This window comes from Homo sapiens, chromosome X (assembly GCF_000001405.40).
Source record: "Homo sapiens chromosome X, GRCh38.p14 Primary Assembly".
Taxonomy (NCBI): Eukaryota; Metazoa; Chordata; class Mammalia; order Primates; family Hominidae; genus Homo; species Homo sapiens.
The window spans coordinates 10,581,975-10,595,022 of record NC_000023.11 but is presented as its reverse complement, the minus strand read 5'-3'; the positions used below and the strand labels follow the sequence as shown (position 1 = coordinate 10,595,022).

Below are 13,048 nucleotides of genomic sequence, written 5' to 3'. Positions count from 1 at the left end.
ATATTGTAGGTATTTTTTTAAATGCCAGTTATGGATATATGAAGGAAAGCTCCAAAAAATGAAATTCAAAGGAAGCCTTATGTAAATTGCATCACATGTCAACCATTTGGGTGTTAGGAATATTGATGCATTCTTTATTTTGCCTAGAATTCATCACTCCCTAAATAAATATTATTTCCATTAAGTCACCAAATTTTATATATATTCTTTGTCTTGTATGGTGAAGAATTAATACAAGTGCGCTACTCTATTAGGGTATAACAGTTACCTAAGTAATGTATCATGAGACCTTTTTGCCCTTTTCTAAGGAAAATAAGTATTTATTGGAAGGACAACTTCACACACAGTCAGCAGGTAATAATCCGCAGTACTTCCCAATGCTGCTTCTATGGGCTGGAAGAGTGTTTGGTGGTTCTATATGGCACAGGGCTACTTGTCCATACCCTTGACCCAAGGATGTCACGTGCACCCAATCAACCTGGAAATCACTGTGGTGACAGAAGTTGGGGCCCAATCACCCTCAGGGCCTTGACACTGATTTTGAGTATACCAGTTTGGAAAGTCTCTGCAGAATTCCCCAAGACATTAAGTTTATAATATCCCTTGAGGGGTCCTTAGAAAGAAAAAGTGCCTATGTTTTGGTGTCATTATCGTTCTTCAGGGCAAGGCTTGGTGAAAAGATACTGAGAGAAGACAGTACAGATAGAAGGACAAAGCGAACAAAAATAAGGACCCACTGATTTTATCTTTGCAAGCTCTAAACTGAGTTACAGATTGAGATCTAAAATATATACTCAATACATGCATCCTCAAAATGTTCTTCACACATTTGTGCCCAAGACATAGTAGTTGATAATATTAATACATAAATATATATACACACAGATATATATGCCTTACAATACAGTCCTATTTTTAGTGTGTAACAACTGTACTATTTTCAAAATAGTCATCGGCACAAACACCAGTACCACGGCTAAATCTGACATTATTGATCTTTTCTCCCTCTAAGAATATCTTTTGTAGGCCCATAAGTGAGAGATGGCAGATCTCCTGAGCTTCATTCAGTCCTTTATGGAAATATTTATGAAAACCCTACTGTGTGCTCAGTAGCTATCAGAGTTCTTGGCATATAAAAGATTTCAAAATAAATTTGCCTAGTATTGCTTTGGGGGATGAGGACTTGGTGATATCTTCCTCTCCCCAAAAGAAAAAGTGGTGTGTGTGTGTGTGTGTGTGTGTGTGTGTGTGTGTGTGTGTCAGAGGGACAGAGACAGAGGTAGAGAGACAGAGTGTGAGAGTGTGTGGGTATTCAGAGAGAGAACATGAGTCCCAGTCTTATCCTTATCTTCCCTCATACAATGCAAGCTATTTGGAATTGTAGAGCTGGAAGTGATCTTAGCTAACATTTTCCCAATCTCCTACCCAATACAGGAGCGTCTTCTACAATAACCTTCATCAAAGGGTGGAACGCTAAAATGTAAGACTAGAGGTCTCTTTTTGTTGGGCAATAATTTGATTCAATTATGGTGTCATTATTTGGTAACTCAGGTGGCACAGTATAAATTTCTGTGGGAAATTGGAATGGGGAGCCCAAGCTGGACTGGACATGACTGCACCATGGAAGGAGGACATTTGGGACCAGTCTTGAGCTGCCATTGTGTTCCACTGGGAAACTAAACACTAGTGCTTTCTCAATTAGTTTATATATTTCTCAAAGTATTCCATAGTCTTTAGTTTGTGCTAACAAAATTGATCGGAAGTACTATATTAAAATTATCATTCATTTTTTACTCTTACTGAACAGCAGTGAGAAAAGCAGGAATCTTTGTCATTTTGTTTAGCATGTAAATGCACAAAAACCTCAGCTTACCTGAACTTTGCTAAAATGTCAAACCTTTATTAACCACAAGTTTTCTACATTATACTTTTCCTAAAGATTTGTGAAATACAAGGAAGAAGGTGATATTATGAATTACTGTAAAAATCCATGGTCATGGATACAATTATACATTCAAGTCAATCTCCTACGTCATCTCTATTTATGATCAAATGAAAAAAGGTCTTTTTAATGATGATCTCAAGGAAAAATAAGATTTGAAATTACCTCAAACTTTTCAATTAGATCCAATATGTGATTTGTAGTTATGCAAGTAAAGTGGACTCAAGCATTGTAGAAATGTTTCAATTAGGATTTTTTTTAAGTTAATTGAGATTTGATCATATTTTTATTGTCATCTTTGTTCCCACATGGAAATTAATTCCATTTCAGACTTATTTCTTGGAGGGTGTTTAGCATAGTTATCACCTTAAATGAGTAGGGTAGGGTGCGTAGGGTGGCTTTTCATTTTTGGAATTTAATTATTACTCTCTCTATATATATACATGTATATATATATGAAAAAGAAAGAGCTTGCCTTGGCAGAAGTGTTTAAAGAAACATGAGTAGTTAATGCCCTCACTGTGATTTGACTTCCATCTTCCTTTTTTTAAGCACATTTTTCATTTTTTCCCCCTTTAAACCTGCCATTTAGAGCTGAAAAGTATTTTTCAAGAAATGGAGCAATGCTTTCTATCCCATTTATTAAAGTAATGCACAGAAGGAAATGCACCGTGGTAAAAACAATTTATACGAGAAATGATAATGTTTTGCTAAAGATAACCAGGAAGTGAGGAGGAGAAAAAAACCCCTCAAATAGCAGAGAGAGGCCAGATGGTCTTTTTTTTTTTTTTTTTTTTTTTTTTTTTAACGCAGTCCCTAAGCAGGAAATTTTGTTTGATTAAGAAGACACTGGTCTTGATTTTCATTCAGCAGTTTTGAGGAACTTTTTTTAATGGACACACACACATATACACACACACACACACACACACACCACAAGCCATTTTCATTCAGCCAAATTATCATTTGTGCTATTGTAAGCAAGATTCTGCTGATGAAAATGTGAAGTCTTAATGATAAAGAAGAAAACGAGTTCCCAAGTCTCAGTTATGAAAGAACTTGGAATTTACCCACTACCCTAAAGACGCTCGATCATTACCATATCCATCATATTGTTGTAAGGTCTGGTGTTTTGTTTTGTTTTCTTTTGATAGCCTGGAATGGAAGAAAGACTGTGTACCACAGTGGCTAACTAGGGTTTTGTGAGATACAGGGTAGACCCGGGGGAAAAAATAGAGGTTTTGGAGTTCAACACCCCAGGGGGCTAATGTGCATAAAGCGACTGCTCCAAAGGACCTGAGTTTAATCCTTGGAGCTGCCAGTCAGGATCAGGATGAAGAAGCACCCATGCAAAGAATTGCTTCTGGATGCTGATAGGCAGGGAGGTGAAGGGGGGGAGGTGGGAAGGGGGAACGGAGCACCCCTCTTTGGACTGTGATGTTTTGGCAGTCGGTGCTTGGAGGAGGGTAGCTGGCAGTGGCTCCGGCACAATAAAGCTCCCTTCGGTGAAGTCACCAGCATCCTTGCCATGGTCTGGCACCCTTTGCCCAGCACCCCTGGAGTGTGCAATTTCCCAGTCTGTATTCTAAGGATGAAAATGACTAAAGTTGTGAAACTAACTATTTGCATCTGTTTCAAAGAGAAAGAGTCACTTGGAATTTGGAATGGAAAGAATAGATTTAGACAACTGGCAGAATTGTTCGGAACTATGCCCTGAATCAAGAGACCCTGTTGACTTATATAAGGACAAGCTAAAGGAGCTACGTAAAAGAGAGAACCAACATATCTTTACCATGAAGATGACAAATCAGGCATTCAAATTTGTTTTTTCAAAAATGAAATGTGTTCTCATATAGTTGTGTGATACTTTCTCTAATCAGTATTCATATTTATAGTCAAAATAAGTATAACTTCACTTTAATATAGCTTAGCCACCTTGAAAGCTCACTGTTCTTAAAGCTAGATTTTTTTGTAAGTGAATTTTTAAGCCCTAGATTGCATCTTAAGTACTGAGTTATTTTAATTTTGCCTTTTTTTTTAATGTTTAAAAGCCAGCTTCTTGTCTAATTTGATTCAATGGATAAAATGTACAGGATGAAACTCACACTTAAAATGCATTTCAATGAGAATTAAATTGTTTAAAATGAAACTTTTTTCCTTTAAATTTTAAATAAACAAATAAGATGCAAAGCAAAATAACAACAAAAAACTCTTAAGTCAACTCCCTTGGGGATAAGGGATAACCTTAGGGATAAGGTCATACCTTTTGATATTAACTCCAAACTCATGCCTTGTATTCGTGTTTTACAAATTACATTTATAATTTATCTCAAAGATAACAAGGAAGCATACTTTGATAATACAAGAAGAATCTCTCAGACTTTAGCCTGCCTTGAGAATATGTTTTAAAAGCCATTAGAAGCTTCCTAGCGTTTATGGGATTTGTTCTTATATAGAGTACATTTTTTTTTACATATATTTTGGGCAGAATTCTCAAGTCTCCAAATAAACAGTTTAAATCTTGGCTTTTAGGCCAAAAAGTCTTTGGGCTGGGAATAACTCACCCTCAGAAGACTACTTGCTTTATAACCCCTCCCCTGGAATGCTGCGACCCTGTCTTCCCACAAACCTTATTTGCTTCACTGTGGAAGAGTGGCACAGGGCACCCACCACCCAGACTTCCCAAGCTCTTCTCTTGGTCTCTGCTATAGCTACAATAGCAACTTTATTCTCCTACAACTGAGAGAAGAGAGACAGACCCTCTCATATTGTTGTATATTGTTTTATACTCAGAAAAGGAAAGAGAAGCAAAACTAAAGGCAGGTAGCCCGGCGCCTAAGAACCAGACGCGAAACCAAGGAACCAGACCTGAAACCAGGCCTGGGCCTGCCTGACCTAAGCCTGGTAGTTAAAATTCCACCCCTGACCTAGCAACTGATGTTATCTATAGATTATAGAAAGACATTGTAAAACTTCCCGGTCTGTTCTGTTTCACTCTAACCACCAGTGCATGCAGCCCCTGTCACGTACCCCCTGCTTGCTCAATCGATCACAACCCTCTTACGTGGACCCCCCTTAGAGTTGTGAGCCCTTAAAAGGGACAGGAATTGCTCACTCGGGGAGCTCGGCTCTTGAGACAGGAGTCTTGCTGATGCCTCTGGCCAAATAAACCCCTTTCTTCTTTATCTCGGTGTCTGAGGAGTTTTGTCTGCGGCTTGTCTTGCTACATTTCTTGGTTCCCTGACCAGGAAGCGAGGTGATTAACAGACGGTTGAGGCAGCTCCTTAGGTGGCTTTAGCCTGCCCTGTGGAACATCCCTGCGGGGGACTCCAACCAGCCGGAGCGACGCGGATCCTGAGAGCGCTCCCGGGTAGGCATTTGCCCAGGTGGGACGCCTCGCCAGAGCCGTGTGTGGCAGGCCCCCGTGGAGGATCAACGCAGTGGCTGAACACTGGGAAGGAACTGGCACTTGGAGTCCAGACATCTAAAACTTGGTAAGACTAGTCTTTGGAACTTGCCCACTCCATTTGTGTGGAAGCGTGGTCTGATCACCCACGGCATGCCTTTATCGGCACTTTGGTTTTGGTTTTGACTTGGTTTGAATTGCTTGACGGAACTGGTCTTGGGAACTTGCCCGCTCCATTTGAGTGGAAGCGTGGCCTGATCACCCACAGCGTGCCTTTATCAGCACTTTGGTGTTGGTTTTGGTTTTGACTTGGTTTGAATTGCTTCACAGGACTGGTCTTGGGAACTTGCCTACTCCATTTGAGTAGGAACTTGCCTACTCCATTTGAGTGGAAGCATGGCCTGATCACCCACGGTGTGGCAGTACCGGCACTTTGGTTTTTGTTTTTGACTTGACTTGGATTGCTTGATACTTGGATTGCCTGGATTGCTTAGTTTTGGTTTTGACCTGGCTTAGATTTCTGGATACTCTAATTTTGGTTTTGATTCTGGTTTGGTGTAAACTGCAAAAGTGTGTGTGTGCCCTTTTTACCTGTTCTTTGTTTTGTGGTGTGCGTGTGGTGTGAGCATGGTGTTTTGTCTCAAAGAAGCATGGGTCAGGCACAAATAAGCCCACCCTACTAGGAACTATGTTGAAAAATTTCAAGAAAGGATTTAAGGAAGACTATGGAGTACTATGACACCAGGAGAACTTAAAACTTTGTGTGAAATAGACTGGCCAGCATTAGAGGTGGCTTGGCCATCAGAAGGAAGCCTAGACAAGTCCCTTGTTTCAAAGGTATGGCACAAGGTAGCCTGTAAGCCAAGGCACCCAGACCAGTTTCCGTACAGAGACAGTTACAGCTGGTTTTAGATCCCCTTCCCCCCACAGTAGTTAAGAGAACAGCAGCATAAGCGGCTGGCAGAGGCAAGGAAAGACCAGCAGACAGAAAGAGAGAGGCAGAAAGAGAGGAAGAAACAGAGGCAAAAGGAAAGTCAGAGAGAGACAGAGAGACAGAAAGTCAAAGAGAGAAAGAAAAAGAGAAAGAGAGAAATATACAAGTAGTTAAAAAAAAAAACAACAGTATACCCTATTCCTTTAAAAGCCAAGGTAAATTAAAAACCTGTAATTAATAATTAAAGGTATTCTCAGTAACCCTGTAACACTCTAATACTACTTTGTTGTCAGTGTAAACAAGGGCATATCCCAAGAGCACTGAGGCCTTCCTATCAAAAATCCTTAACCCAGTAACCCGCGAATGGCCCAGATGCATTCAATCTGTAGCGGCAGCTGCTTTGCTAACGGGAAAAAAAAAATTATGCAAAAAATGTTGTATAATTTAAAAGTACTCAGTACTATTGAAGAAACAGTTTATGTTCAAGGTGTATAAGAAAAGTAAAATATACCTTTGGTAAAAGGATTATAAGGAGGCATAAGAATGTGGATTTTTACCTACATTAAAAGGTTAAAAAAATTATTGTTTTGAAAGTTTAAGCGAGTTTTGAGACGTTAATTGTAAAGAAAATTCTGTGTGTAAACATATTAGCTAAAGTTAAAAAGGTATCATCCAGTTTTTCTGTGAACTGGACATTAAAATAAAAATGCAACAGGTTTTTCTTAAAGCACCAACCTGCTCTTTAACAAAAATTATGAAAGGTTAAAAAGAGTATATAAAATCTTGCTTATGGTCAAACATTAAAAATTAGATAAATATGTCTACAAGGTTTTATTAAAATTAAGTTTAACATCAATAACACTAATATAAAGGTAAAATTTGGCTTATCTAGTATAAAAATCATACAGAAAGCATTGTTAAATGTAAAATGGTATTTGGCTTTCTTTGGTCTAAAAACTAATAAAAATAGGTGCTAAAGGAAACATTCATTTTACTAGAAGATCATAAAAGTTAAAAACTTAAAACAAACTTTGGCAATTAAGACAGCATACCAAGATGCAAATGCCTGGTTGGAATGGATCAAATATTCCATGTGCACGTTAAACAAAAGCAATTGTTATGCTTGTGCACATGGCAGGCCAGAGGCCCTGATTGTCCCCCTTCCACTAAGGTGGTCCTCCAGTCGACAAGGCATGGACTGTGTGGTAGTTCTTTTCCAGGATTCTACAGCCTGGAGTAATAAGTCATGCCAAGCTCTCTCTGCTATATCCCAAAGTCCGGCACCCTGCGGGTCAGCCCCCGAGGGCTGTCCAGCCTCCGTCTCCCAACACTAAGTTCACTTCGTGTCTCTCACGACAGGGAGGAAACTTAGCATTCCTTGGAGACCTGAAGGGATGCGATGAGCTTAAGAATTTTCAAGAGCTTATCAATCAGTCAGCCCTTGTTCATCCTCACGCGGATGTGTGGTGGTATTGTGGTGGACCTTTACTGGGCACTCTGCCGAATAACTGGAGTGGCACTTATACTTTAGTCCAATTGGCTATCCCTTTCACCCTGGCATTTCATCAACCAGCAGGAGAAAAAATAAGACATTGTAAAGCGAGAGAAGCCCCTTGTAGGTCTTTCAACTCTCATGTCCATTTAGACGCAATTGGAGTCCCATGAGGAATACCAGATCAATGTAAAGCTTGAAATCAAATAGTTACAGGATTTGAGTCAATATTTTGGTAGATGACAGTTAATAAAAATGTAGATTAGTAAACTACATCTATTACAACCAACAGCAGCAAGCTTTTCATGAGTTAAAAGAAAAACTCACGTCAGCCCCAGCCCTGGGGCTACCTGACCTAACAAAACCCTTTACACCCTATGTGTCAGAAAAAGAAAAACATGGCAGTTAGAGTTTTAACCCAGACTGTAAGGCCCTGGCCAAGGCCAGTGGCCTATCTCTCAAAACAACTAGACGGGGTTTCCAAAGGCTGGCCTGCATGTCTAAGGGCCCTAGCAGCAACAGCCCTGTTAGCACAAGAAGCAGATAAGCTAACTCTTAGGCAAAACCTAAACATAAAGTCCCCCCATGCTGTGGTGACTTTAATAAATACCAAAGGACATCATTAGCTAATGAATGCTAGACTAACTAGATACCAAAGCTTGCTCTGTGAAAATCCCCACATAACAATTGAAGTTTGCAACACTCTAAACCCCGCCACCTTACTCCTGGTATCAGAGAGCCCAGTTAAACATAACTGTGTAGAGGTATTAGACTCAGTTTATTCTAGTGGGCCCAACCTCCAAGACCATCCTTAAACATCAGTAGACCGAGAGCTGTACGTGGATGGGAGCAGCTTCGCCAACCCTTGCAAAGTGACTCTGAAGAAGACGACAAGCCCTGCTTCAGTCACACCCAGAAGCTAACTGGTCCATGCACGGCCGAAACATGAGGAAACTCATCGCAGGACTCATTTTCCTTAAAATTTGGACTTGTACAGTAAGGACTTCAACTGACCTTCCTCAGACTGAGGGCTGTTCCCAGTATATACATCAAGTCACTGAAGTGGGACAAAAGGTTGCTACAGTCCTATTATTTTACAGTTATTATAAGTGTACTGGAACTCTAAAAAAACTTGTTTGTATAATGTTACTCTATACAAGGTATGTAGCCCGGGAAATGACCAACCTGATGTGTGTTATGACCCATCTGAGCCTCCCATGACCATAGTTTTTAAAATAAGATTAAGGACTGAAGACTGGTGGAGGCTCATAAACGATACAAGTAAAGTGTTAGCCAAAACAAAACAAAACAAAAAAAGAAGTGCCCAAACAAGTCACCTTGAAATTCGATGCCTGTGCTGTCATTAATAATAATAGGTTAAAAATAGGATGTGGTTCTCTTAATTAAGAAAGAGGCTATATGGCAGAAAATAAGTACATTTATCATAAATTAAGACTGTGTAAAAATAAATGTGGATACTGGTCTTGTGTCATTTAGGCTACTTGGATAAAAAAAAAAAATCCTGTCCACCTTCAGCAAGGGAAAAGTGGCCCTTCCTGTACCAGTGGTCAGTGTAACCCCTTAGAACTAGTAATAACCAACCCCCTTAATCCTCACTAGAAAAAAGAGGAACGTGTAACCCTAAAAATTGATGGAGCTGGACTGGATCTTCAAGTAAATGTCGTGGTTTGAGGAAAAGTTTATAAACGCTCTCCTGAGCCAGTATTTCAAACCTTCTATGATGAACTGAATGTGTCAGTACCAGAAATTCCAGGAAAAACAGGAAATTTGTTTTTGCAATTAGCCGAGCATATAGCCCAGTCTCTCAGTGTCACTTCGTGTTATGTATCAGCACAAGTGTAAATATGTGAATCATTATCAATCTATTGCACAGGAAGACATAAGTAGCAAAAATAAGAGTGAGAACTCCCACTAATAAAAAGTGAGAGTCTCAAAGGGGGGAAATGAGAGAAGAGAGACAGACCCTCTCATATTGTTTTATATTGTTTTATACTCAGAAAAGGAAAGAGAAGCAAAACTAAAGGCAGGTAGCCCGGCGCCTAGCAACCAGACGTGAAACCAAGGAACCAGACCTGAAACCGGGCCTGGGCCTGCCTGACCCAAGCCTGGTAGTTAAAATTCCACCCCTGACCTAGCAACTGATGTTATCTATAGATTATAGGAAGACATTGTAAAACTTCCCAGTCTGTTCTGTTTCACTCTAACCACCGGTGCATGAAGCCCCTGTCATGTACCCCCTGCTTGCTCAATTGATCATGACCCTCTCACGTGGACCCCCCCACCTTAGAGTTATGAGCCTTTAAAAGGGACAGGAATTGCTCATTCAGGGAGCTCGGCTCTTGAGACAGGAGTCTTGCCGATGCCCCCAGCCGAATAAACCCCTTCCGTCTTTAACTTGGTGTCTGAGGAGTTTTGTCTGCGGCTCGTCCTGCTACCCAATTTTCTCTGCGATTATTTTCCTTCTAACCCTTTCTTAAAGTGATGGGCTCTAAAAAATCATGATTCAGCTGCTATTGCAATTTTACCTAGCCAGTGAATTTATTTATTTTGAGATGCTTTTTGATATTATTGTCATTGTCAAATGACATTATGACATTTCAAAAGACATTGGCTGTCAGCCAGTGGGATCTAGTCTTAACTCATCTTTGGTGCTCACCGGTCATAAAGCTGTAGTCACATGTGTTTATTTCCCCCAGCACTCTTCCCTCATTTCCTTCCTTTCCTTCCTGAAATTTCCTCTTCCAGTGGTGCAAAAGCTGGTGAGTAAGTACTGACAAAACCAATGCCTCTTCCAATGTCTCTATTCATTTCCTTCCTGTCCATCCCTATAAGCTTAACTGTACATCCATGGTTATTTTCAACTTTGAGTTAACATCGTAGAATCAAACACTTAAGATATTCAGGTAATTCTGAATACCATATGCTATGGTTTGAATGTGTCTCCCAAAATTCGTTTGTTGGAAACTTAATCCCCAATGCAGCAGTACTGGGATGTGGGGCTTAATGGTAAAGCCCTTACGAATGGATTAATGCCGCTATTAAAAGGGTTTGTGGAAGTGGGTTCTTCCTCTCCTGCTCTTTTGCCATGTGAGGACATAGCATTCCTCCCTTCCAGAGGACACAGGCTTCAAGGTGCCATTTTGGAAACAGAGATACCAGGCCCCTAACCTGCTCTCTGTTCTTCTTTTTTTTTTTTTTAGATGGAGTCTCAGTCTGTCGCCCAGGCTGGAGTGCAGTGGTGTGATCTCTGCTCACCGCAACCTCTGCCGCCCGGGTTCAAGCAATTCTCCTGCCTCAGCCTCCCGAGTAGCTGGGATTACAGGCGTCTGCCACCGTGCCCAGCTAATTTTTGTATTTTTAGTAGAGACGGGGTTTCACCATCTTGGCCAGGCTGGTCTTGAACTCCTAATGTCGTGATCCACCCGCCTCAGCCTCCCAAAGTTCTGGGTTTACAGGCGTGAGCCACCGTACCTGGCCTAAATCGCTGTTCTTTATAAATTACTTAGTCTCAAGAATTCTGTTATAGCAGCACAAAATGGACTAAAACATCATGGTTCCTGCTTTTTTGGCTCACTAAGTGTTCGTGGCTTTTCTCTTTCAAAATTTTATTGCTAAAATAAATAAAGATGTCACTACTTTACAATAATTCATCACATTCCATTTTTTTGTAAGAAATAGTAAAAGTTGGATTTCTATGCCCTTGAAAAAGAACTCTATCCTTGAGGCAATCTGAAACTAAGCATTTAACAACTTGAAAAATTAGATCACAACCCTCTGACCAAACACCAGAAAGTTTTATACTGAAATTCAGATACTCTTTGCTTGTTTATTGGCAGGGAAAAAGCCAAAATATCAAGAAAGCCAGCACAAATATGAGTAGTAATATCCCCTTAGCTAACATAGATTTGCACCACCCATCTACCTTCTATCATGTCATCCTTTTTATTTCTTTCATTTTATGTATGAGTCTTTGAAATGTTTGTGTTTTTAAAAACCTTTTATTTTTTTATTTCCTTCATTAAAATGTAAGCTCTCCAAGGGCAGGCCTTTATGCTCATATTTACCACCAATTTGCTGCTGCCTAGAGCAGCTCCTGGCACACAGAATGACCTCAAAAAATACCAGTGGAATGAAAGAGTAATGAAAGAAATGACTCATCTGGTTTTACTCCAAAAGAAGTAGTTCTAATTTTTTTTAATGCTTAAAGAAAGCCAAATGGATATACATATAGGATTTCCAGTGTCATAAAAGTAACAAAATTAGCTTACTCTTCCAAACTCTTATTTTATTAATATTTTTTAATAATAAAAAATTATAGAATGCTTCATGAATTTGTCATCCTTGCATTGGGGCCATGCTAATCTTCTTTGTATCATTCCAGTTTTAGTCTATGTGCTGCTGAAACAAGCACCAAACTCTTAAAATTAGCTTAGGTTCAGAGTGAAGAGCTGAAGTTGCAGACCAGACCCAAGCTGTTTTGGGACTATGAAGGACATTAAGGGCTCTGTTTATTTGAGCAAAATCTATGGGTGAGGCTTACCTGCTTTCTGCCAATTTTCCTTGTACAACAGCTGATGTCAGAGGGTGGTTGGATAAGGAGCTTGGAGCCGTTGGTAAGGAAGTTCTTATCACTTTCTTGCAGGCTCCTTTTACCTCTAGTCTTCTATGACTCAAGGGTCATTCAGTGCCAAATGAAATTCTGCCTCTGTGGTAACTGCTAGAAAGTCCAGTGATGATCTGATTTCTAGTAACAACTATTGGCCATATCCCCAGGAGGAGATAAGAATTGTGTCTATTAGGAAATAATTTTCCATGGATCTATCACCTTTTTGTACCTCTTGTGAGCTGGAGCACTGAATGATTTTATTCCAGACTATTCCCCAGGATGTTTGTATAGCAAACAGTCTTGGGAGATAGAGGTAGTATCTCGCGCCAGGGGAGAAGGCAGGTTTGTTTGTTGTTCATTATATTAAAGACAATGTCTTCCTCCAGGGCAAAAGTTGGGCAGGCTAACTTGCAGTCCATTATAAAAGATTCAGATTTCCTAAGCTTGGAGTTGCTTAGGTATGATGCAAATCTCCTGAGTGTGCAAACATGGACCTAGGATGCTCCGTAGGACTTCGAGAACAAGGGGAACCAACAGAACATGAAACACATACCATTTGAGTAAAAACAGCCTTTATCTTTGATTCAGGTGTCTTCTGCCAGCATTCATGAAACGAAACTGGCAAATAGCAAAAATCTGAAACATTT

At 40.0% G+C, this 13,048-nt stretch overlaps 1 protein-coding gene and 1 pseudogene across 5 annotated transcripts in view, besides 3 other annotated features; one reads left to right on the top strand and one right to left on the bottom strand.

The window, feature by feature from the left end:
• MID1 (midline 1) overlaps positions 1-13,048 on the top strand; it is a 388,374-nt gene that overhangs the window by 238,661 nt on the left and 136,665 nt on the right. Inside the window, exon 1 of one of the 5 annotated variants that reach the window (NM_001347733.2) lies at positions 5,063-5,436. The exons of the other annotated variants lie outside the window; for them this stretch is intronic. The gene's annotated coding sequence lies outside the window, so the exon portion shown is untranslated. Of the gene's footprint in view, positions 1-5,062; positions 5,437-13,048 lie in introns of those variants that run through there. 5 annotated transcript variants of the gene reach the window in all.
• Positions 4,686-5,168: a promoter, noted in NCBI's record as "LTR promoter fragment". NCBI's record gives the evidence for it as "EXISTENCE:reporter gene assay evidence [ECO:0000049][PMID:12408967, PMID:12411602]".
• Positions 4,686-5,168: an enhancer, noted in NCBI's record as "LTR promoter fragment". NCBI's record gives the evidence for it as "EXISTENCE:reporter gene assay evidence [ECO:0000049][PMID:12411602]".
• Positions 4,686-5,168: a mobile genetic element, noted in NCBI's record as "partial".
• On the bottom strand, positions 12,104-12,206 carry RNU6-800P (RNA, U6 small nuclear 800, pseudogene; annotated as a pseudogene).